This window comes from Homo sapiens, chromosome 3, assembly GCF_000001405.40.
Source record: "Homo sapiens chromosome 3, GRCh38.p14 Primary Assembly".
Classification (NCBI taxonomy): Eukaryota; Metazoa; Chordata; class Mammalia; order Primates; family Hominidae; genus Homo; species Homo sapiens.
The window spans coordinates 9,496,597-9,519,955 of NC_000003.12; the positions used below are offsets into that span (position 1 = coordinate 9,496,597).

At 48.9% G+C, this 23,359-nt stretch overlaps 1 protein-coding gene across 1 annotated transcript in view, besides 2 other annotated features; it reads right to left on the reverse strand.

Moving 5' to 3' along the window:
* Positions 1-1,764: 1,764 nt before the first annotated feature.
* Positions 1,765-23,359, reverse strand: part of LHFPL4 (LHFPL tetraspan subfamily member 4) — a 55,462-nt gene continuing 33,867 nt past the window's right edge. Inside the window, exons 3-4 of the mRNA NM_198560.3 lie at positions 9,371-9,607; positions 1,765-5,715 (exon numbers count right to left, since the gene is read on the reverse strand). Coding sequence (NP_940962.1) covers positions 5,615-5,715; positions 9,371-9,607 — 338 coding nt within the window. The 3' untranslated portion in view covers positions 1,765-5,614. The remainder of the gene's footprint in view (positions 5,716-9,370; positions 9,608-23,359) is intronic.
* Positions 4,730-5,455: an enhancer, noted in NCBI's record as "H3K4me1 hESC enhancer chr3:9543010-9543735 (GRCh37/hg19 assembly coordinates)". NCBI's record gives its function as "activates a minimal SCP1, AML or CMV promoter by ChIP-STARR-seq in primed H9 embryonic stem cells {active_cell/tissue: H9 hESC(primed)}" and the evidence as "EXISTENCE:reporter gene assay evidence [ECO:0000049][PMID:30033119]".
* Positions 6,649-6,943: a silencer, noted in NCBI's record as "tiled region #15302; HepG2 Repressive DNase unmatched - State 12:CtcfO". NCBI's record gives its function as "represses a minimal TATA promoter and a strong SV40 promoter by Sharpr-MPRA in HepG2 cells {active_cell/tissue: HepG2}" and the evidence as "EXISTENCE:reporter gene assay evidence [ECO:0000049][PMID:27701403]".

Sequence of the window (23,359 nt, forward strand, 5' to 3'; positions counted from 1 at the left end):
TCAGGGAGGCTGAGGTTGCAGTGAGCTGAGATTGTGCCACTGCACTGCAGCCTGGGCAACAGAGGGAGACTCCATCTCAAAATAAATAAATAAAACAAATGATGCAGTCTCAGGTATGGCTTTATAACAATGCAGAAATGGGCTAACAGTCTACCCCTAATCCAGCCCCCTAATGCTACCACCAGAGTGCTCTTTCTAAAATGCAAATTGAGTCATTTTTCCTTCTGCTTCAAATCCTTCAGTGGTTCCCCATTGCTCTTAAGTCCAAACTCCTGTCCATGGCCCCCAAGCTTTCTCATGGTCTGGCCCTCGCCTGTCTCTCTAGACTCATCTCTGACTCCTCCCTGCCTCGTACTTCACATTTCAAACTAAGTTGCTTTTCGTCCTCCATACACAGTTCTGCTGCCTACCTCAGTCTTTTTCCTCAAGCTGCCTTCTCTTTGACCTTCCTGACCCCTCCTGCCTAACTTCTCATCCTACAGCAAGACCTCCTCCTACGCTGCCCACGTCACCAAAAGCCATTTAAAGTATTCCTGCCTAGGATACCCACAATACCCTGCATGTGGCAAGTCATGCGTTATTTTCACATGTTCATCTCCCCAACCAGAATTATGCTTAAGACAGCATCTCTGTTTTGCTCATTTTTTTTCTAGCTTAAGTGCTTAGCATACACTAAGTGCTTAAAATGTGTTGGAAGAGGACTCCATTTCCAAGTCTTCAATGTAGCTACCTGGTACTGCGCACATTACAGCGTGCCAGATACCCTGCAGAGCAAAGTGCATATATTCCCTGGTATGTTGCTTACAGCTTCCCTTGGGGGAGTCACTATTGTTTTCTCTATTTATTCAATGGGGCTTTAGAGAGAGGCAAAGTGACTGGACTGAGCACTCTGGCTAGAGCAGATGAGGCTCTACTCTTTTCTGCCTGTATGGACTTGGACAAGTCGTGCCTGTGCTGTCAGAGGTGTGCAGAGATTACTGTATCCCTCTCTCTATTCACTCCTTTCTCCTTTGTATCAGAACCCTATTTTTTTTTTTTTTTGAGACGGAGTCTTGCTCTGTTGCCCAGGCTGGAGTGCAATGGCGCCATCCCACCTCCCTGCGACCTCCGCCTCCTGGGTTCAAGCAATTCTCCTGCCTCAGCCTCCTGAGTATCTGGGATTACAGGCACGCACCACCATGCCTGGCTAATTTTTGTATTTTTAGTAGAGACAGGGTTTTGCCATGTTGACCAGGCTGGTCTCAAACTCCTGACCTCAGGTGATCCACCCACCTCAGCCTCTGAAAATGCTGGGATTACAGGCATGAGCCACCTTGCCCGGCCAAGAACCCCAGTTTTATTTGGGCTGGCAATGCGCCGAGATAACAGACCACACTTTTTCAGCCTCCTTTACTGTTATGTGGCCCAAGTGACACAGTCCTATGGAATTTCCAGAAGTCTTCAAATGAAATGTGGACCAGGTGACTGGAGCTCCAGCAGCCCACGTTGGGCCATGAGGTGTTCTTGAGGATGTAGCCAGGATTGAAAATGGCAGTGCAGAAAGATAGGAGCCTGGGTTCTGGATAACACTGAGAGCCATATCAGCCGTGATCTACCCACCTCCAGGCTTTTTTTTTTTTTTTTTTTTTTTTTAATGTGATGGTAAAATAAACTATCTTGTTAAGCCACAGTAGTAGGGTTCTGTTAATACCAGACAAACCTGATCCATAGGGTTGGAATCTTACCCCTCTTGATCCCAGTGACTCAGAGAAGTGGCAGCCAGCGTGGGTGATAGAAAGTGTTTCTTTATTTGAATGTCATTCCACCTGCACTGAAGCTTAAACCCAGCAGCAGCAGAAGGGGTCAGGACCAAAATAAATGTTACCAAATTAGACAATGAACAGCGAGGACACACTCAGACAAAACTTACTAATGGGGTATAGACAACACCAAGCTATCCTAACAGCACACAGCACAGGCCCTCGGAGGCCTGCCCATCAGAGCTCTGCGGAAGGCTCCCTTGTTCCCTGTTCAGGAAACTCCAGTCCCACCCAAAGGTTAGCCGTGGGCCAGGCAGGGGCCTGCAGAAGTTTCTGGTGCTGGGAACATCCCAGCTTCTCCAAAGACAGGGTTTCCCTTTCTCTTTCTCAGTTCACACTGGAAGCTGGAGAAAGGTTATTCCCCGTGTGCCCAAGCAGGATGCTCAAAAGGCCAGGGACTCTCCCCACAGCCTTATCTAAAAGTTCTCATCATCTTGGCTATCAGGCCTGAAAAGGATCTTGATTCTTTGGTCCTCACCCCCTCAGGAAAGTTTTCCTTCATGGGTACCGGTCCCCAAAGACGAAAGTTTTCATAGCCCCGGTTCCCAGAAGGACTCAACTGACCAGACTGTGGGCCAGGGACTGAACCACCCCTAGGCTGTGGCTGCCGTGGCCTCTCCTGAGTCCCCAGATCAGGCAGAGAAAAGCGGGCAATGGCAGACCCCTGATCACAGTTAGGGGGGTCACAGTTAGGGGGGGACTTCTCTTGGGACCTGAAGCCGGAAGGCTCTAGGTTGGAGCCCAACAAGGCCCTCCTGGGGTCAGAAACAGGCACTGATCTCCTCTGCTTACCTCCTCCTGAAGGCTAAAGCCAGATCGCCCGACGAGAGCAGAGGCAAACCACAAAGCCCCCTTCCCATGATGTCTTTATTGCCCCAGGAGGGCCATCAGGGCCTCACCTGGGGCCCCCACTGGAGCACCTGCCACCTGCCCCATCCACACCTCTGCAGAACCCAGGGCCCCAGTCTATGGTTTGGTCCCCACTCTGACTTCTACCCCTTGCCTGTGTCACCCTGGGGTTCCCGCAGACTTCAGCCCACACAACTCTGCCTTCCTGACTCCAAACTCCCTGGTGCATCTCCCCCTGGCTCTGCCAAGATGGCAGCTGGCCAGGTGCGGTGGAATGGGAATGTTGCCAGGCTACCCCACCAGGGAACTAGCCTCCCTCCTCTCCACCCGGCGCTGACCCACTCCTAAGTCAGCTGGACCCACTACGTCCTCTGAAGTGGCTTCCTTCACTCCAGTTCTTCCCAAAAGGATGCGGCCTTGGCTGCCTGTGCCCCGGGCCTCCAGCCTCTGAAAGGTCAGTTCTATCCCCCGCACCAGGGCACAGGTTTGGTGGGTGTCCTTGGGGAACAAGGTGTGGCAAGGACACCTGGTGGCAGGCGTCCTTGGGGGAACAAGCTCTCCCCTCACCCAGTGCCCAGATAGCAACCCCCTCCCCACTGCCCCGCATCCTGGCTCCTTCATCCTCCTCTCCTTCCTCTGCATCCCATTCTTGCCCCCAACCCACATCTCCATTTACCTCTTCCCCGCTCCCGAGTCCTTTTTCCGCCTTTTCATCCATTTCCCCTCCCCCACCCCAAGCTCTCGGGCAGCCTCTCAGCTGGTCTCTCATCTCTCTCCACCTCTGCCCCGTCTCTCTCGATCTCTCCTCCTCGCGCTGTTTCTCTGTGCCTGTGCGTCCCCCTCGCTCCTTCTCCAATCATCTCTCATCTCCCTGTCTCTGCACCCCTCTTCTCCTCACCCCAGTGTCTTCTCCCATTCCCAGTCGCTTGCTGCGCCCCTCCCCTCACTCTCTCCTAACTCTGCTCTCCCCCTCCAACGCTGGGCTTGGTTTGCATCTTTGAGGAACTCCCTCCTACCCCAACTCCCTCCCACGGGGCTCCCGCATCCTCCCGCATTTAACTCGGACCCTCTGTCCCGCAGCGCCCCTACCCCAGGCCGACTGGACTGTCCGGGAAGGCGCCGGCGGGGAAGGGGAGCCCAGCGCTGGGACCAGAGCACTGCGGGGAGGCTTTGCCCGGGAGGAGTAAGTGGAGGAGTGAAGTCGGGACTTGGTAAGTTCCAGGTGGCAGGAACCCACTAGGTCCCAACATCTGATTCCGGCTAGGGTCCAGAGTGGGGAGACAGGCAGGGGACTTCTAGGGTCTTTCTTGGAAACCCTAACTCTCAGGTCCAAGTCCTGTGGAAATGAACACAAGGTTGGCAAACACATGGCGCTCAAGCGACCCTCTCCCCTCCGCCGAGGCCCGAGGCGGCTTCCCCTGGCATCCTGCAGGGCACCGCCCCTTCCCTGCAGGTCCAGGCCGCCAGGAGGGGGCGCTGGACGAAGCCGGTCTGCACCAGCAACTAGTGCTGAGGGAGCTGTCCAGGCCCCAGGGCAGGGAGGCTCCCCGGGAGAGATGGCTCTGCCGCCAGACCCACAGGGGAATGACGGGTGTTCAAAAAATACCAGGAGTCTCCCTCACCTGCTCCCTGCCAAGGGGAAGGGAGACGCCCCCACAGTGGGTGGAGGGGGGAGAAACTTCTCACCTGTCCCCCAACACACACACACACACACACGCTCACACGCGCACACACACGCACACACATTTCACCCACATACACATACACTCATGCCTCGGCTCCAAGCACTGCCCATAGGTGCAGACCCTGGGCATATCGCAAGGCGAGAGGTGGGCCAGGAGGAGGAAGAGGCTGGGACAGGGTAACAAGGCTTAGGAAGGGGGACAGGGGTACCCTGTTCAGAGATGACCTGCAAGTTCAAGTTATGCAGAAAAGTATCAAAGAGACAAGACAGTCTCTGCCCTTGGTAGACGCCTGGGGTATGGAGGGCATGAAAAGGGGCAGAAGGGGTAATGCATCCCCCAACTCCCCACCTCTGGGGTCCCCTCCACACCCCCAACCCTGACAACAGGGCCAAGAAGTCTGTGCTGTACAAAACAGGCCAGGGTCAAGGGTCCAGTCATTGGTGAGACATCCCAGCAGAGAGGAGGCCTGGGCAAAAGAGGCCAAGGTCAAGGGCTCAGTCATCAGTGAGATGTTCCAGCAGAGAGGAAGAGGAGGCCAGGCCAGCCCGGGCTGAGCAGCTTCTAAGCTCCAACTGCCGAGGCCACGTACCCCCTCCCGCTACCTCCAGAGCCTGAAAGTCTTTTCTGACTCTGGGCTGATCAGGGCCCCGGTCTGCAGCTGACAGCAGGGCCCTGTGCATCCCTCGGTGCAGCTCTCCCTCAGGGTGAGCTGGGAGCAGGCCGGAATGGAGCAGAGGAGGTCCCAGGGGAGACTGGTGGCACCTGGAGCTTTGTGGCAGATGTGGTGGAACCAACATCAGCCAAAAAAGAAAAAAAAAAAAAGTAGGAAAGAGTCCAGCCCACCCTGGAGCAGTATCTAGAATAAATTTCTTGAAGAGGCAGGGACCAGAAGAGGTGCGGATACAGCCAGGCGGCAGCCCTCCAGACTGAGGGGGCCTGGGGAGCTGGAACTACAGCTCCGCTCTCCCTGGGGATCTGCAGGGACCTCCAGGCCAGTCTAGAGAGGAGAGGAGAAGCCCAAGGGCCTACGCAGATGCAGGCTCCCTTAGGTCAAATTGAGGGAGGAGCAAGAATTAGACCCTCCCAAGGTTTGGAGGGCCTCTCCTCTCCCCCAGGCCACATCCAGGCTTTCCTCTCCTCAAAGCCTGGAGCTTGCAGGGTAGTCGGTGAGAAGTAAGTCTGAGATCAGGGTCTTCCCTCAGAGCTTGAATGGAGTGACGAGAGGGCAGAAGGCAGGACAAGCTGAGGTCAGGCCAATTACTGGGCTGTGATCCTGGCCTTTCAGGGTCCCTGTGAGTGAGCCACGGGGCAGGGAAGGACTCCCCATCCAGAGACATCACCCCCGGGCCGCAACACGGAGCTTACTGTAGAGCCCACAAAATCTAAGAGAGAGAGAGAGAGAGAGAAGGAGAGAGAATTAGAGAAAGTCAGAGGCTGCCTGGGCATTCAGGCTTTCCTTGCACATTCCCCAGGGCACAAGTGGGCAGAGGGGCCGGGCGCGGTGGCTGACGCCTGTAATCCCAGCACTTTGGGAGGCTGAGGCGGGTGGATCACTTGAGGTCAGGAGTTCAAGACCAGCCTGATCAACATGGCACAACCCTGTCTTTACCAAAAATACAAAAAATTAGCCGGGCATGGTGGTGCATGCCTGTAATTCCAGCTACTTGGGAGGCTGAGGCAGGAGAATCGCTTGAACCCAGGAGGCAGAGATTGCAGTGAGCCAAAATTGCACCACTGCACTCCAGCCTAGGCAAAAAGTGTGAAACTCCATCTCAAAAAAAAAAAAAAGGTCAGAGGGGCAGAGGGGCAGACTGCACAAGCGCTGAAATCCTAGCCTCACCTGACCAGCAGGATGGCCTTGAGCAAGCCATTTAACCTCTCTGAGCCCCGATTTTCTCATCTGCAAAATAAGGATCATAGCCTACCTCACAGGGTAATTCCGAAGGGTCAAAAAGAGACAAATAATGACAGCCAAGGACTTGGCAGTGTTTGGTCATAGAATATGCTGGAAATGGAAGCAATTTATTTATCTATTTTTTCTTTGGTTCCAGAGGTCTTCTTTAAATATATATATATATTTCTTTCTTTTTAATAGAAACTGGGTTTTGTTACATCGCCCAGACTGGTCTTGAACGTGTGGGCTCAAGCGATCCTCCTGCCTCAGCCTGTAGCTGGGACCACAGGTGCGCGCCATGGCTTTTGGCTCGGAGGTCTTTGGGTTAAAACTGAAGTGGGAGGCTCACTCATCTTGAACTCCCAGTGAGGGACGGAGACTCCCTGGACACTGAAGGGAGGAAAACTGGGGCTCCTTTACATTGATTTTTAACACTGAGTTGTTAGGGGGCTTTGGGAAGGGAGGAGAAGGACACCGAGGGGGCCCACTTCACATCAGTCACATCCCCACACCCCTTCTTGAGAAAGGCCAGATCTCAGTCTGTCTTGCACTTCTGAAAGCTGCCGCCAGAGGGCAGGCCTTGACTTCACACCAAAACCACAGTAATCCCGGGGTCTGAGGGACTGCATCAGGTATTTAGAACCTGCCTCTGAGTACAGGTTAGCAGATCAGCATCCCAGGAGAGCTCCCAAAGCCGTGCAGGAAATCTCTGGCTTCACCAGGTTGAGACAGGGGGGAAGAGCTTGGACTTTGGACTTGGACCTGGGTTCAGATTCTGCCTTCACCACTTAAGTGACTTTGGGCAAATTACTGGAGCTCTGGAGTTCTCTGAACCTGGCCTTTTTTCTTTATTGTATTTTAATGCTACTTGATATATATGAAAGTTTATATGCAATACACTAATTATAAAGCATACAATGTGCCAGGTAAGGTGGCTCACACCTGTAATCTCAGCACTTTGGGAGGCCAAGGCGGAAGGATTGCTTGAAGCCAGGAGTTCAAGACCAGCCTGGGCAACATGGGGAAACCTCGTCTCTACAAAAAATACAAAAATTAGTCAGGCGTGGTGGCGCATGCCTGTAGTCCCAGCCACTCAGGAGGCTGAGGCAGGAGAATCGCTTAAGCCCAGGAGTTTGAGGCTGCAGTGAGCTATGATTGCACCACTGCACTCCAGCCTGAGCAGCAGAGTGAGGCCCCCTCCCCCAATCTCTTAAAAAAATACAATAATCAACACTGGTGAGCTCACCATTCAATAACTATAACTCAGCCGGGTGTGCTGGCTCATGCCTGTAATCCCAACACTTTGGGAAGCTGAGGCAGGCAGATCACTTGAGGCCAGGAGTTTGAGACCAGCCTGGCCAACATGGTGAAACCCCATCTCTACTAAGAATACAACAGTTAGCTGGGTGTGGTGGCAACATGCCTGTAATCCCAGGTACTCAAGAGCAAGAGGCTGAGGCACGAGGATTACTTGAACCCAGGAGCTGGAGGCTGCAGTGAGCCGAGACCGTGCCACTGCACTCCACCCTGGGCAACTGAGCAAGACACTGTCTCAAGGAAAAAAAAAAAAAAGGACTCTAACGCTACCCATAATTTGCATATACCTCCACGCTCCAGCTCATATACTTGACTTCCTCCCCTTCCATCATAACCACAGATGACCATCATCCTACCTTTCATATTTATTATTTCTTTGCTTTTTAAAAAAATATACTGCCACAGCTGGGCACGGTGGCTCACACCTGTAATCCCAGCACTTTGGGAGGCCAAGGCAGGCGGATCACGAGGTCAGAAGATCGAGACCATCCTGGCTAACACGGTGAAACCCCATCTCCACTAAAAATACAAAAACTTAGCCGGGCGTGGTGGCGGGTGCCTGTAGTCCTAGCTACTCAGGAGGCTGAGGCAGTAGAATGGTGTGAACCCGGGAGGTGGAGCTTGCAGTGAGTGGAGATCGCGCCACTGCACTCCAGCCTGGGTGACTGAGTGAGACTCCATCTCAAAAAAAAAAAAATACTGCCACAAATACATGTGTGTTTAAACAATACATTGCTTAGTTTTGCTTACTTTCGAGCTCAATAAATATATCACTCTGTCATCTTCTGGAACTTGTTTTTTTTTTTCCCCCTCTCTCAACATTATATTACTGAGATACATCCACTGTGGTACATATAACTGAAGTGTGACATTTTCACAGCTGTGAGCTGCTCTGTGATGTGAACATGTCACGTGTATTTATCCGGCCTCCTGTCCATGGCCATTGGGCTGTTTATAGCTGTTTGCTACAGTGAAGCTGCAGCCACCAGCGCCCTTGAACGCTTCTCATGGGTTTGTACCCGAGGTGGGTTTGCTGGGTCACAGGCAAATGATCAGATCTGAGGCAGAACATCAAATCATTTAAAAGGTGGTTGTACTGTCAGGCAGGTTTCTTTTTTTCTTTTCTTTTCTTTCTTTTTTTTTTTTGAGATAGGCTCTCACTCTGTAGTCCAGGCTGGAGTGCAGTGGCACAATCACAGCTCACTGCAGCCTCAACCTTCTCAGGCTCAGGTGATCCTCCCACCTCAGCCTCCTGAGTAGCTGGGACCACAGGCACTTGCCACCACATCCAGCTAGTTTTTGTTTTTTTTTGTTTTTTTGTTTTTTTGTTTTTGAGACAGAGTCTCGCTGTCTCCCAGGCTGGAGTGCAGTGGCGCAATCTCAGCTCACTGCAAGCTCCACCTCCCGGGTTCATGCCATTCTCCTGCCTCAGCCTCCCAAGTCCGGCTAATTTTTTTGTATTTTTAGTAGAGACAGGGTTTCACCGTGTTAGCCAGGATGGTCTGGATCTTCTGACCTCAGGATCCACCCGCCTCGGCCTCCCAAAGTGCTGGGATTACAGGCGTGAGCCACCGTGCCCAGCCCAGTTTTTGTATTTTTTTAGGGAGGGGATTTCACCATGTTGACCAGGCTACTCTTGAACTCCTGGGCTCAAGCGATCTACCTGCCTTGGCTTCCCAAAGTGCTGGGATTATAGGCGTGAGCCACCACGCCCAGCCAGGGTTTCCAATTCATGCAACCCTCTTACTCCTTTTATTTGAAATTATCCTGCCTCCCAGGACCAGGCCTGGCTCCCGCCGCTGCCCCCCAGCCCACAGCACACTCGCCTTTGTTCTCCGGCTTGAGCTCCTCCTGCAGCAGGTCTGTTTGCCGGTTGCCCAGCACGAAGGCGAGGAAGGAGAGGATGAGGGCGTTGAGGATGCCGATGATGGCCAGGATGTATGCCCAGCGCACTGAACAGTCCCCCAGGGAGTACTTCCCCGTCTTGGCCCCACACATGTCCCGGATGGTCTCGGCATCCCAGCCATCAGGAAAGATCATGCAGCCCAGGACGAGGCACAGAGCTGAGGGGCAGAGCACCGGGCCCACCACCACGGTCAGGAAGGAAGAGAAAAGACCATTACTCGCTAGTGTCCGCAGTCTGGGCCCCACCCTATTGAGGGCACATCAACCCAACCACGTGCTTGTTACCCACTTCCACAGAGGGAGAAAGAGAGGGCAGGGGCAGGGAAAAGAGAGAGAGAAAGAGGTCTACGATGGGTAGCAGAAACTTTCTGGAACCCGCAATGCCCTCTCCCTTCCCCATGAGATCAACTCCTCCTCCAGGAAGCATTCTGGGAATATGAGAACATAGCCACCCACAGCCACCTCCTTCAACTTCCTCTAGCATCGGGACCAACTCCCTCTCCCATCTCTCCCATCCTCATTATTATTATTATTGTTGTCGTTGTTGTTGTTTGAGACGGAGTCTCGCTCTGTTGCCCAGGGTGGAGTGCAATGGCGTGATCTCGGCTCACTGTAACCTCCACCTCCCGGGCTCAAGCAATTCTCCTGCCTCAGCCTCCTGAGTAGCTGAGACTACAGGTGCCTCCCACCATGTCCGGCTCATTTTTGTATTTTTAGTAGAGATGAGGTTTCACCATGTTGGCCAGGCTGGTCTCGAACTCCTAACCTCAAGTGATCTGCCCACCTCAGCCTCCCAAAGTGTTGGGATTATAGGAGTGAGCCACCACACCCGCCCTCATTGTTATTTTTTAAATTCTTGTCCTTCACCCATCAAATGTTTATTGGGCACCATTTTCCTTTTATTCACGATGCTAGAATATACTTTCATTCATGCAGTTGAGCACTTTGCTAAGAGCACAGACTATGGAGTGCCAATGATAGGACTTAGCCTAGTTCTTCCCCTAACTTGGCTGTATGACCTTGGCAGATGCCGCTGAACCTGAACAGGCCTGTTTCAGTCAATACCATTGTACTTACCTCAAGGGCGATTAGGAGGATTAAATGAAGTAATGCGTGCAAAACACTTAGCACGGTGCCAGGCACTCAGGTAGCATTTATCCAGGGCCTACCATATGCCAGGCACTAGACCAGGCCTGCGGGGTGGGGAGACTTGGATTTTAGCTGCATGGAGCTTGCAATGTAGTGTGGAGAGAGGTACGTAATAGCAAAGCGATTAAGAAGGCTGGGTCTCAAATCCTGGCTCAGCTATTTTCTAGATATGCCACACTGAGCAAGTTCCTTCATCTTTAAGCCTCAGTTTCTTCATCTGTACAATGGGGATAATGATGGTATCCTCAAGTGGTTGTAAAGATTATGGAAGGCAGCAAAGTGTAAAGTGCCTGGCACAGTAAGTTCTGGGTAAATCTTAGCTGTTATCAAAACCAGTCATAATGCCAAAAGTAATAATTACACAAATAAGAAAGTAATTCGGAGAGTTGGTTTCAGGTGAGGAGGACAAAGGCAAAGAGGAAGAGAAGGGGCAGGCTCAGAAGGGCCTTGGCAATGGTTCCCTAGCTAGCATCCACCTGCTTTGGATTTAGCAACCCACCTGTCCCAATCCCCGCCCAGGTGGGCCCTTGGCCAGCACTTAGCCTAGTGGATGAGACCCAAGCCTGAGCTGATCAGCACATTGCACTCCTCTGGTAAGAGTGACTGGCTTGGAGAGTGGCACCTCCTGCGTCACAGGGCAGTCAGAACCCCCAGATTCAGCAGGCCACTGTAGAGATGGGGTCTTCCCCTCCACCAGCTCTGCATCACCGGCTTGATGGGGCCCTCGTATTGCCAGTCCTGCCAACATTTGGGTTACTGTATCTGAGACCCAAAGGTTCCAGAGGGCTCTGTTTGGAACCGTGGGGACCTTGAGCCTGCACCAGGTCCACAGGGTGCTTAGCCTGGGTTTTAGATGACAGCAATGTAAAGTGGGGGTGATGGTCAGCTCTGCCCACTGTCCACCTGGCCCATCTAGTCCCCAGGGTGGGAAGGGGCCCTTGGCTGTGCCAGCTCCCTCCCACATCTACCATGGAGGGAATGCTCCCAGGCCCCAGCCTCTTCCGGCTTCCAACGGAGTGGGCCCTCCTTCTCATCGTGGCACTGCCAGATTCCAGCCAGTCCTCCTCCTCTCCCCAACACGTGCTCCTCTTCCAGATGCAGGCTCCCCCCACAATACTATGATCGAACAGACACTGCAGCAGGGCTCCTCCCCCCACCAATGCTCCTCCTCCAAGTCAATTATCCACTCCAGTGGAACTCACCACCTAAGGGCTGGGAAAAGAGTTGCAGCCAAAGGGAATGGCAAAAGCAAAGTCCTGCGGCGGGAACAAGCTGGATGAGTTAAAGAATTAGCAACTTTGAACAGGCCAGAGCTCAGGGGAAAACCGGGGCTAGACATGCAAATCTGGGGACTCTGGGCACTTTAGGTATTTAAATCTCGAGGACTGGACATGGTGGAAACTGAAGAGAAGGCTTAGGACTGAGCCCTGGTGCTCCAGCATTAACAGGGCAGGAGGAGGAAGAGGGGCCTGCGGAGAAGGCCTGGCCGTCATCTCTCCACATAGCGCTGCACTTTGCCAGACCCTCCAGGACCCTATCTGAAAGGAAAGGAGGGTCAAACGCCAAGGAAGGCAACGGGGCAGGGGGAGGAGTGGTCTCAGCCCCAGTCCTTCCCCCGCCCTCGGAGTCCCCAGAGCCCTTTCCCAGGCGGGTGCGCTCCTGCCTCCCTATTCCCGGACTCTAAATCTCCAGCAAGAGGCAGGAGTGGGAACGAGCCCAAGAAGGGGGCAAACCCACACCGTCCCTTTGCCACCTCTCTGGTCGTCCATTCCCGTGGTGCCAGAGGCGCGGGTCCTGCAGTAGTCGGTGGCTCCCGCCAGGAGCATCCCCGTCTCCGTGGAAACCGGGCCTGCATCCCGGCGCTCCCAGCTGCGCAGCGCTGGCTCCTGCGGGCGGTCCTCCTCCCCTCCGCAACCTGAGCACTGAGGCCTCAGGGAGGTTTTCTTCCTTTTGCTTTCCGCCTGCACGTTTTTTCTGCCTCTGTCTCTCTCTTTCATTCTGTGTCTCCATTCCTTTCTCTTCCCCACCCTTTTCATCTTTCTTCGCACCCCCCTCTCTCTCTCTCTGGCTTGTCTACCTAGTGCTCAAGTCTCAGTCTGGACCCCCGCCCCTCCCGCTTTCCCCTTTATTTAGATCTTTCAGCACTTAACATTCATTCAACTCCCTCCTCCTCTCTATTTCTTTTCTCGCTTCTCTATATCTATCCCCTCCCCTTATCCTCTCTTTTTGCCTCTCACTTCATAGATCCCACAAATACAGTCCTGCATGCCCACTATGTGCCAGGCACTGTGCAGTGTGCCGGGGACAGCAGGCTGGGTGTCTGTCTTCAGGGCAGAGGCGTGTGGGAAGGAATACAGCCAACAAGTCAACACATAAATAGAAGAGTTACACATGTCAAGGTGTGCTTCAAAGGAAAAAGACTAGCAGCTGCCACCCACAATAACAGGGGTACTCAGAGATGGCTGGGGCACTCACGCTGCAGGGTTTCAGATGGTGGCTGTGGGGCCCCAGAGGCCACTCCGGGAATGGGAAATATCAGAAGTCAAACAAATGAAAAGCCAATTAGATGGGTTCCTTGCACCTAGGGGAAAGATAGAAAGGGACCAGTAGAGATAGCCTAGGCCAAGGAAGTGCCCAAGAGGGCCAACCATCAGGAGATGGAATGACTGCAGATAAGGCAGGGTTCAGTGTTCCCATTTGCTGGATGAAGAAACTGAGGCTGAGGCTTTTGTGCTCCAAGCTCGAGTCTCTTTTGGAATAATGGGCTGGCTGAAGACCCAGCTGCTGCTAGGCACATACACGGGTGCAGGATGGCACAAGCTTTCTCAGCCTCAATGCTTTTGACATTCAAGCTAGATGATTCTTCATGAGGGGCCAACCAATGCACTGTGGGATACTTAGCATCATCGGTGGCCTCTACCCACCAGATGCCAGGGGCACCACCAAACCCAGTCATACTGATTAAAAAATGTCAGTTGGGCATGGGTGGCTCATGCCTGTAGTCCCAGTACTTTGGGAGGCCGAGGTGGGAGGATCACTTGAGGCCAGGAGTTTAAGACCAGCCTGGGGCAACATGGTGAAAACACGGTGAAAAGCACAAGTACATGGTGGCATGTACTCGTAGTCCCAGCTCCTCAGGAGGCTGAGGTGGGAGGATCGCTTGAGCCGGAAGATCAAGGCTGCTGTGAGCCAAAATTGCACCATTGCACTACAGCCTAGGCATCAGAGCAAGACATGGTTTCAAAAAAAAAAAAAAAAGGCCCTAATGTAGGGGATTATCCCTGGCTGAAAACCACTGGTGTAGGGGCAGAGGCTCTAGGATGGGATATCTCTATCCAGCTACCCCATGGTCCTACTGACTTTCTCTGCTCCAAGCAGCCAGGAGGTGTTATGACAAAATTAAGATGAACAATGTTAATATTTTTAATATTGTGATACTATTGTTAAAAATAGTGTTGAGTGGCCCGGCGCGATGGCTCATGCCTGTAATCCCAGCACTCTGTGAGGCCAAGACGAGTGGATCACCTGAGGTCAGGAGTTCGAGACCAGCCTGGTCAACATGGTGAAACCCCATCTCTACTAAAAATACAAAAATTAGCTGGGCTTGGTGGCACATGCCTGTAATCCCAGCTACTCAGGAGGCTGAGGCAGGAGAATTCCTTGAACCCAGGAGGCGGAGGTTGCAGTGAGCCAAGATTGCACCACTGCACTCCACCCTGGGTGACAGAGCAAGACTCCATCTCAAAAATAAATAAATAAATAAATAAATAAATAAATAAATAAATAAGCAGTGATGAGTGCTTAACTATGTGCCAGAGTGCTAAGTTTCTGACTTTCATTATCTCATTTAATCCTATTATTAATTTAAAAAATTCAGCCTGGCATGGTGGTTCACACTTGTAATCCCAGGACTTTGGGAGGCCGAGGCAGGTGGATCACGAGGTCAGGAGTTCGAGACCATCTTGTCTAACACAGTGAAAACCCATCTCTACTAAAAATACAAAAAATTAGCCACGCGTGGTGGCGGGTGCCTGTAGTCCCAGCTACTCGGGAGGCTGAGGCAGGAGAATGGTGTGAACCCAGGAGATGGAGCTTGCAGTGAGCGGGGATCATGCCACTGCACTCCAGCCTGGGCGACAGAGCTAGACTCCATCTCAAAAAAAAAAAAAATGCCATGAGGTGGGAAAAAATACCACCCTCATTATACGAATGAGGAAACTGAGGCTCAGAGGCACCAGGTGTCTTATCCAATGTCACATAGCTTGTAAGTGGGGGAATCTGTATTCAAGCACAGATAGTTCCTTACTGCATGTTTTTCTTTGAATAAACTCACATTTTAACTTCGATGCATTTACTTGAAAAGTAAACTTAAATTACTTTCAAAGAGAAGGAAACCAGGATCATTTGCCATAAATAGAAAAACACTATAAATGTAGGTATAATGAAATCAAAACAATGTTCTTAGAATCTAGCTAGATACTTTTGCCTGCCTAGTGCTCTGAGCCTGAGGGCCGATTTCTCTTTGTTTAAAAGACCTATTAGTAAGTGTGAGAGGAGTTAAAGATGCATTAGCACCAAACTGAAACTTTCTCCTTAAAGTTATGGAAGAAATTGGAAATGGAACCATGTGCTCGCCACTGGCTGCCGGATGCATCTTGCATGTGTCTGGTGTTTGGGAAACACACCCCAATTTGTCCTGCCTCCACAGGAGGCTTGGCTGCATCCTTTACATGGCGACTGTTTTTTTTTTTTTTTTTAGACGGAATCTGGCTCTGTCGCCCAGGCTGGAGTGCAGTGGCGCAATCTCGGCTCACCGCAAGTTCCGCCTCCCAGGTTCACACCATTCGCCTTCCTCAGCCTGCCGAATAGCTGGGACTACAGGCGCCCGCCACCACACCTGGCTAATTATTTGTATTTTTAGTAGAGACGGGGTTTCAAGTGTTAGCCAGGATGGTCTCGATCTCCTGACCTCGTGATCCACCCGCCTTGGCCTCCCACAGTGCTGGGATTACAGGCGTGAGCCACCGCGCCGGCCTACATGGCAATTTTAGGTAGTCAGTTTCCCCCTCTGGGCCTCAGTTTCTTCCCCTGTGAAATGAGGATCATGACATTTGCCCAACCCATTTCGTAGAGCTTCTGTGAGAATCAAATGGGAGCTGAGAAGTGGCGCGGCAGTTTCATAAGGGTGGCGTGTGAGCAGGTCATGGTGACTCTTGGCAGAGTGGGAAAATAATCCTGAACAAAGGACTTTTTCTAGATATTCAAAAAATGTTAACAATGGCTGCCTGGGGAAGGAGGTAAGTTTATTTTTTTGCAATTTAACCATGACAGAGACAAATATCTTGCCACAATATCTATTCATCCCTTCTTCCTTAGTATTTAGAACCCTCAATTTTTAGCTAAGACCTTGACTGTAGAGAATAAAGACTGCATTTTCCAACCTCTCTTGCAGTCAGATGTGACCATATGACTAAGCAAAATACATGTAGATGTGTTCTGTGGCGTTAAGGAAACAACTTTATATAAACAGATTCATAAGGATGCTACCGGGTACTCTTTGTCCCATTTGTCTTCATCCATCTCTCCATTCAGCTGCCTGGAATGCAGATGTGATGGTCAGGAATCCAGCAGGCATCTCTGACAATAAAGATAGGGGCTATACCCCAGGAGTGGTGAGCATAAAGCAGGAAGTTTCTAATGACTTCAGGGGCTAGCATACCAGCTCTGGACTGCCTCACTCTAGGACATTTTTTTGTTTGTTTGTTTGTTTGTTTGTTTTTTGGAGACGGAGTCTCACTCAGTCGCCCAGGCTGGAGTGCAGTGGCCGCGATCTCGGCTCACTGCAAGCTCCGCCTCCTGGATTCACGCCATTCTCCTGCCTCAGCCTCCCGAGTAGCTGGGATTACAGGCGCCCGCCACTACTCCCGGCTAATTTTTTTGTATTTTTAGTAGAGACGGGGTTTCACCGTGTTAACCAGGATGGTCTCGATCTCTTGACCTCGTGATCCGCCTGTCTCGGCCTCCGAAAGTGCTGGGATTAGAGGCGTGAGCCACCGCGCCCGGCCTGGACATTTGTTTTATATAAGAGATAATAACCTTGGGTCATTTATTTTATTTTATTTTGTTTTGTTTTTGCGACAGGTCTTGCTCTGTCACTTGTTTTGTCTTGCTCTGTCACCAAGGCTGGAGTGCAGTGGTGGGATCATGGCTCACTGCGTCCTCGAACTCCTGGGTTCAGGTGCTTCTCCCACCTCAGCTTCCCAAGTAGCTGGGACCACAGGTATGTGCCACCATGCTCAGCTAATTAAAAATTATTTTGGTAAAGACAGGGTCTTGCTATGTTGCCCAGGCTGGTCTCGAACTCCTGGCCTCAAATGATCCTCCCACCTTGGCCTCCCAAATTGCTGGGATTACAGATGTAAATTATTGCACCCAGCCTTGGGTCATTAAACTGCAATTATTTTGGTTTTTCATTTCACATGCAGTCGAACCTAGTCCTAACTGGCATAATGTTGTATTCTTTTTGAATTTTGTATCATGTGTATTTATTGGGAAAAATCATTTAACTGTGCGTCACTGGGCAAGTCCCTTCACCTCTTGGTGATACCTGCTTCTCAAGGTCACAAGGTAGACTGAGTGGTCACCATCATCGACTGTAATGGTAGGACATCTCCATTGGTTTTGGGGTGTGAGGGTGGCACGTGCACTCTTGTAAATGTACTTACTCCTTGACTCAACTTTATCCTATGGCTATATCCTTGATTATACACAAAGGATGAATACAAGGGTGTTCGCTGCACCACCATCTATAACAAGGGACCAAAAACATGTCTACTAAGAGGCATCTGGCTATATAACTTACGGTGGTATCTATGCCATGGCATAGTATTAATCCATTTGATTGAATAGGGTACAGTTGTATATGTTGTCATGATCTTCTAAGATATATTAATAAATAAAAAGAAGGTTAGTAGTGGTGGCTCATGCCTGTAATCCCAGTACTTTGGGAGGATGAGGTGGGAGAAGCACTTGAGCCCAGAAGTTCAAGACCAGCATAGCAAGACTCTTGTTTCCACAAAAAAATTAAAAAATAAAGGCAGTCAAGGTACAGAATACTGTATATAGTATAATCCCATCAATTTTTAAATAGGCTTTTTTTAAGAGTAGTTTTAGGTTCACAGCAAAATTGAGTAAAATATTCAAAGATTTCCCATCCACTCCCTGACCCTACACATGCACAGCCTCCCTCACTATCGACATCCCCCACCAGGGTGGCATATTTGCTACAACAGATGAGACAACATTGACACATTATCACCCAAAGATCATAGCTCACATTAAGGATTACTCCTGGTGTTGTACGTTCTATGAGTTTTGACAAATGTGTAATGACGTTTATGTACCATTGTAGCATATCATACAGAGTATTTTCACTGCCCTAAAAAATCCTCTGTGCTCTGCCTATTCATCCCTTCCTCCTCCCAACCGTGGGCAACCACACTGATTGTTTCACTACCTCCATACTTTTGCCTTTTCCAGAATGTCATGTAATTGTAATCATACTGTATGTAGCCTTTTCAGACTTGGACTTAGTAATATGCATTTAAGGTTCCTCCATATCTCCTCATGGCTTCATAGTTCATTTCTTTTTAGTGCTCAATAATATTCTATATTCTGGATATGCCATAGTTTATTTATACATTCACCTACTGAAGAATATCTTGTTTGCTTCCAAATTTTGGCAGTTATGAATAAAGCTGATGTAAATATCTATGTGGAGGTTTTGGTGTAGACATGAGTTTTTTATTCCTTTGGGTAAATACCAAGGTGTATGATTGCTGGGTCATATAGTAAGAGTACATTTATTTTTATAAGAAACTGCCAACATGCCTTCCAAATGACTATAGCATTTTGCATTCCCACCAGCAAGGAATGAGAGTTACTGTTGCTCCACGTCCTACCAGCATTTGGTGTCAGTGTTCTGGATGTTGGCCATTCTAATAAGTATGTAGTGCTATCTCATTGTTGTTTGAAACTGTATTTCCCAGATGCATATGATGTGGAACGTCTTCTCATATGCTAACATGCCATCTGTATATCTTCCTTGGGGTGTCTGCTAAGGTCTTTTGCCCAATGTTTAATTAGGTTGTTTCTTTTCTTATTTTTGAGTTTTAAGAGTTCTTTTTTTAATTTTTTTGAGACGGAGTCTCGCTCTGTTGCCCAGGCTGAAGTTCAGGGGTGCAGTCTCAGCTCACTGCAACCTCTGCCTTTCGGGTTCAAGCAATTCTCCTGCCTCAGCTTCCCAAGTAACTGGGACTACAGGCATGCTCTACCACACCTGGCTCATTTCTGTATTTTTAGTAGAGATGGGGTTTTACCATGTTGGCCAGGCTGGTCTCGAACTTGACCACAGGTGATCTGACTGCCTCGGCCTCCCAAAGTGCTGGGATTACAGGTGTGAATTACCACATCCCGCCTCAAGAGTTATTTGTATATTTTAGATAACAGTCCTTTATCAGATATGTCTTTTTTTTTTTTTCTTTTGAGAGGGAGTCTCCCTCTGTCACCCAGGCTGGAGTGGGATGATCTCGGCTCACTGCAACCTCTACCTCCTGGGTTCAAGCAATTCTCTGCCTCAGCCTCCCATGTAGCTGGGACTACAGGCACATGCCACCAGACCTGGCTAATTTTTGTATTTTTAGTAAAGATGGGGTTTTGCCATGTTGGCCAGGCTACTCTCAAACTCCTGGCCTCAAGTGATCCACCCACCTCAGCCTCCCAAAGTGCAGGGACTATAGGCGTGAACCATGGCACCCGGCCCAGATATGTCTTTTGCAAAGATTTTCTCCCAGTATGTGGCTTGTCTTTTCATTCTCTTGACTGTGTCTCTGACAGCAGAACTTTTTAACTTTAATGAAGTCCAGCTTACCAACAATTGGGCCTTCAGTGTTGTATCTAAAAAGTCATTGCCAAACCCAAGGTAATCTAGCTTTTTTTAGCCTATATTATTTTCTATGAGTTTCACAGGTTTCACATTTATGTCTGTGAAACATTTTGAAGAGTGTAAGGTCTATGTCCATATTATTATTATTATTATCTTGCATGTGGATATTCAGTTGTTCCAGCAGCATTTGTTGGAGAGACCATCTCTTCCCCATTGTGTTGCCTTTGAGCCTTTGTCAAAGATCAACTGACTGTATTTATGTGGGTCTGTTTCTGGGCTCTCCATTCTGTCCTATCAATCAATTTGCCCGTTCTTTCACCAGTACCACACTGTCTTTTTTTTTTTCTCTTGAGACGTTGGAGTCTCACTCTGTTGCCCAGGTTAGAGTACAGTGGCACGATCTAGGCTCACTGCAACCCCTACCTCCCAGGTTCAAGCAGTTCTCCAGCCTCAGCCTCCTGAGTAGCTGAGACTACAGGCACACACCACCAAGCCTGGCTAATTTTTGTAATTTTAGTAGAGACGGGGTTTCACCATGTTGGCTAGGCTGGTCTCGAACTCCTGACCTCAGGTGATCCACCCACCTCGGCCTCTCAAAGTGCTGGGATTACAGGCGTGAGCCATTGCGCCCAGCCACACAATCTTTTTTTTTTTTTTTTTTTTTGAGATGGGAGTCTTGCTCCCAGGCTGGAGTGCAGTAGCTCAATCTTGGCTTACTTCCACCTCCACCACCTGGGTTCAAGTGATTCTCCTGCCTCAGCCTCCCGAGTAGCTGGGATTAGGGGAGCCCGCCACCACGCCGGGCTGATTTTTTATATTTTTAGTAGAGACAGGGTTTCGCCATGTTGCCCAGGTTGGTCTTGAACTCCTGACCTCAGGTGATCCGCCTGCCTCACCCTCCCAAAGTGCTGGGATTACAGGCATGAGGCACCATGCCCAGCTCACACACTTTTAATTACTATAGCTTTATAGTAAGTCTTGGTAAGTCTTGAAGTGGGGGTAGTATCAATCCTCTGATTTTGTTCTCCTTGAATATTGTATGGCTATTCTGGGTCTTTTGCCTCTCCATATAAACTTTAAAATCAGTTTGCTAATATGGACAGAATAACTTGCCAGGATTGTGATTGAGATTGCATTGAATCTAAAGATCATGTTGGCAAGAACAAACATCTTGAAAATAATGAGTCTTCCTACCCATGAACATGGTATATATTTCCCTTTATTTTAGCTCTTCTTCTATTTCTTTCACTAGAGTTTGGTATTTTTTTTCATATAAATCTTGTAAATATTTTATTAGATTTATACCTAAATATTTCATTTTGGGGGTGGTAATTAGAATAATATTGTGTTTTTCATTTCACTTTTTCCAGTCTGAGAAACAGACAGAGACCCTGTCTGTACCAAAAATGAAAAAATTTAGCCAGGTGTGGTGGCATGTTCCCAGCTACTCAGGGGGCTAAGGTGGGAAGATTGGTTGAGCCCAGGCCACAGTAAGCTATGATTGAGCCGTTACACTCCAGACAGGGCGACAGAGCTAGACTCTGTCTCAAAAAAAAAAAAAAAAAAAATCCACTTGTTCATTTCTGGTACATAGGAAAATGATTAACTTTTCTATATTGACGTTATATTCTGCAATCTTGCTATAGGAGGTTGGGTTTTTTTGTTTTTTGTTTTTTTTTTTTTGCTTGATTCTCTGGGATTTTCTACATAGATGATCATATCATCTACAAACAAAGATAGTTTTACTTCTTCCTTCCCAATCTGTATTCCTTTTATTTCCTTTTCTTTTCTTATTGCATTAAGGACTTTCAGCATGATTTCAAAAAGCAGTAGTGAGGGGACACCCTTGCCTTGTTCTTGATCTTAGTGGGAAAACATCTAGTTTCTTACCATTAAATATAATGTCTGTTGTAGGTTTTTTTGGCAACTTGAGAAAATTTCCCCCATTCCTAGTTCATTGAGAGTTTTTATTGTGAATAGGTGTTAAATTTCAACAAATGCTTTTCTTCTGTGATTACTGATAAAATCATGTGATTTTCCTTCCTTAGTCTGTTTATGTGATCGATTACATTAATTGTTTTTTAATGCTAAACCAGGTTGGCATACTTGGAATAAATCCCAATTGGTCATGGTGTACCATTCTTTTTATAGATTATTGATTTGACTTGCTAATAATTTGTTGATGATTTTGGATCTATGTTCATGAGAGATATTGGTCTATAGGTTATTTTTCCTTGTAATGTCTTTCTCTAGTTATAGTATTAGTGTAATGCTGGCCTCATAAAAATGAGTTAGGAAGTTTTCTCTCTGTTCCTATTTTCTGAAAGAGAATGTAGAGAATTCTTGTAATTTCTTCCTTTAATGTTTGGCAGAATTCACCAGTGAACCCATCAGGGCCTGGTGCTTTCTCTTTTGGAAGGTTATTGATTACTAATTCAATAGATATAGGTTTATTTATGTTGCCTATTTCTTCTTGTGTGAATTTTGGCAGATTATGTCTTTCTAGGAATTGGTCCATTTCATCTAGGTTATCAAATTTGTGTTCACAGAGTTGTTTAAAAAAGCATTTCTTTATTATCCCTTTTATGTCCACAAGATCTGTAGTGATGTTTTTTTGTTCATTTCTTTTTTTTTTTTTTTCTTTGAAACAGAGTCTCACTCTGTCACCTAGGCTGGAGTACAATGGCTCACTGCAACCTCTGCCTCTTGGGTTCAAGTGATTCTCATACCTCAGCCTCCCAAGTAGGTGGGATTACAGGCGTGCACCACCACATTGGCTAATTTTTGTTTATTTATTTATTTATTTATTTATTTAGAGACAGAGTCTCTCTCTCTGTTGCCCAAGCTGGAGTTCAGTGGCACGATGTCAGCTCACTACAACCTCTGCCTCCTGGGTTCAAGCAATTCTCGTGTCTCAGCCTCCTGAGTAGCTGGGATTACAGGCGCATGCCACCATGCCCGTCTAATTCTTTGTATTTTTAGTAGAGATGGGGCTTCTCCATGTTGCCCAGGCTGGTCTCGAACTCCTGACCTCAGGCAATCCTCCTGCCTCAGCCTCCCAAAGTGCTGGGATTACAGGCATGAGCCACCGCACCCAACCTAATTTTTGTATTTTTACTAGAGATGGGGTTTCACCATATTGGCCAGGCTGGTCTCCAACTCCTGACCTTAGGTGATCCACCCGCCTCAGCCTCCCAAATTACTGGAATTACAGGCATGAGCCACCACACCTGGCCTCTTTATTCATTTCTGATGTTACCAATTTGAGTTTCTCTCTCTCTCATAGTTAACCTGGGTAGAGGACTATTGATTTTGTTGATCTTTTCAAAAAAATAACTTTGGTTTTGTCGATTTTCTTTATTGATTTCTTGTTTTCAATTCACCTGATGCTCTAACTTTTGTTTCTCTGCTTTCTCTCTCGTTCTTTCTCTCTTTTTTTGAGACAGAATCTTACTTCATCAACAGGTTGTAGTGCAGTGGCATGATCATGGCTTACTGCAGCTTCAGACTCCTGGGCTCAAGCAATCCTTCCACCTCATCCTCCTGAGCAGCTAGGACTACAGGCATGTGCCACCATGCCTGGCTAATTTTTTTCGTTAGAGATGAGGTCTCCCTATGGTGCCCAGGTTGTTCTCAATTCCTGAGCTCAAGGAATCCTTCTGCCTCAGCCTGAGTATAAGCTGGCTAATTTTTTATTTCTTTGCAGAGAAGGGCTTCACTATATTGCCCAGGCTGGTCTTGAACTCCTGGGCTCAAGTGATCCTCCTACTTTGGCCTCCCAAAGTGCTGAGATTGTAGGTGTGAGTCACCATCCTGG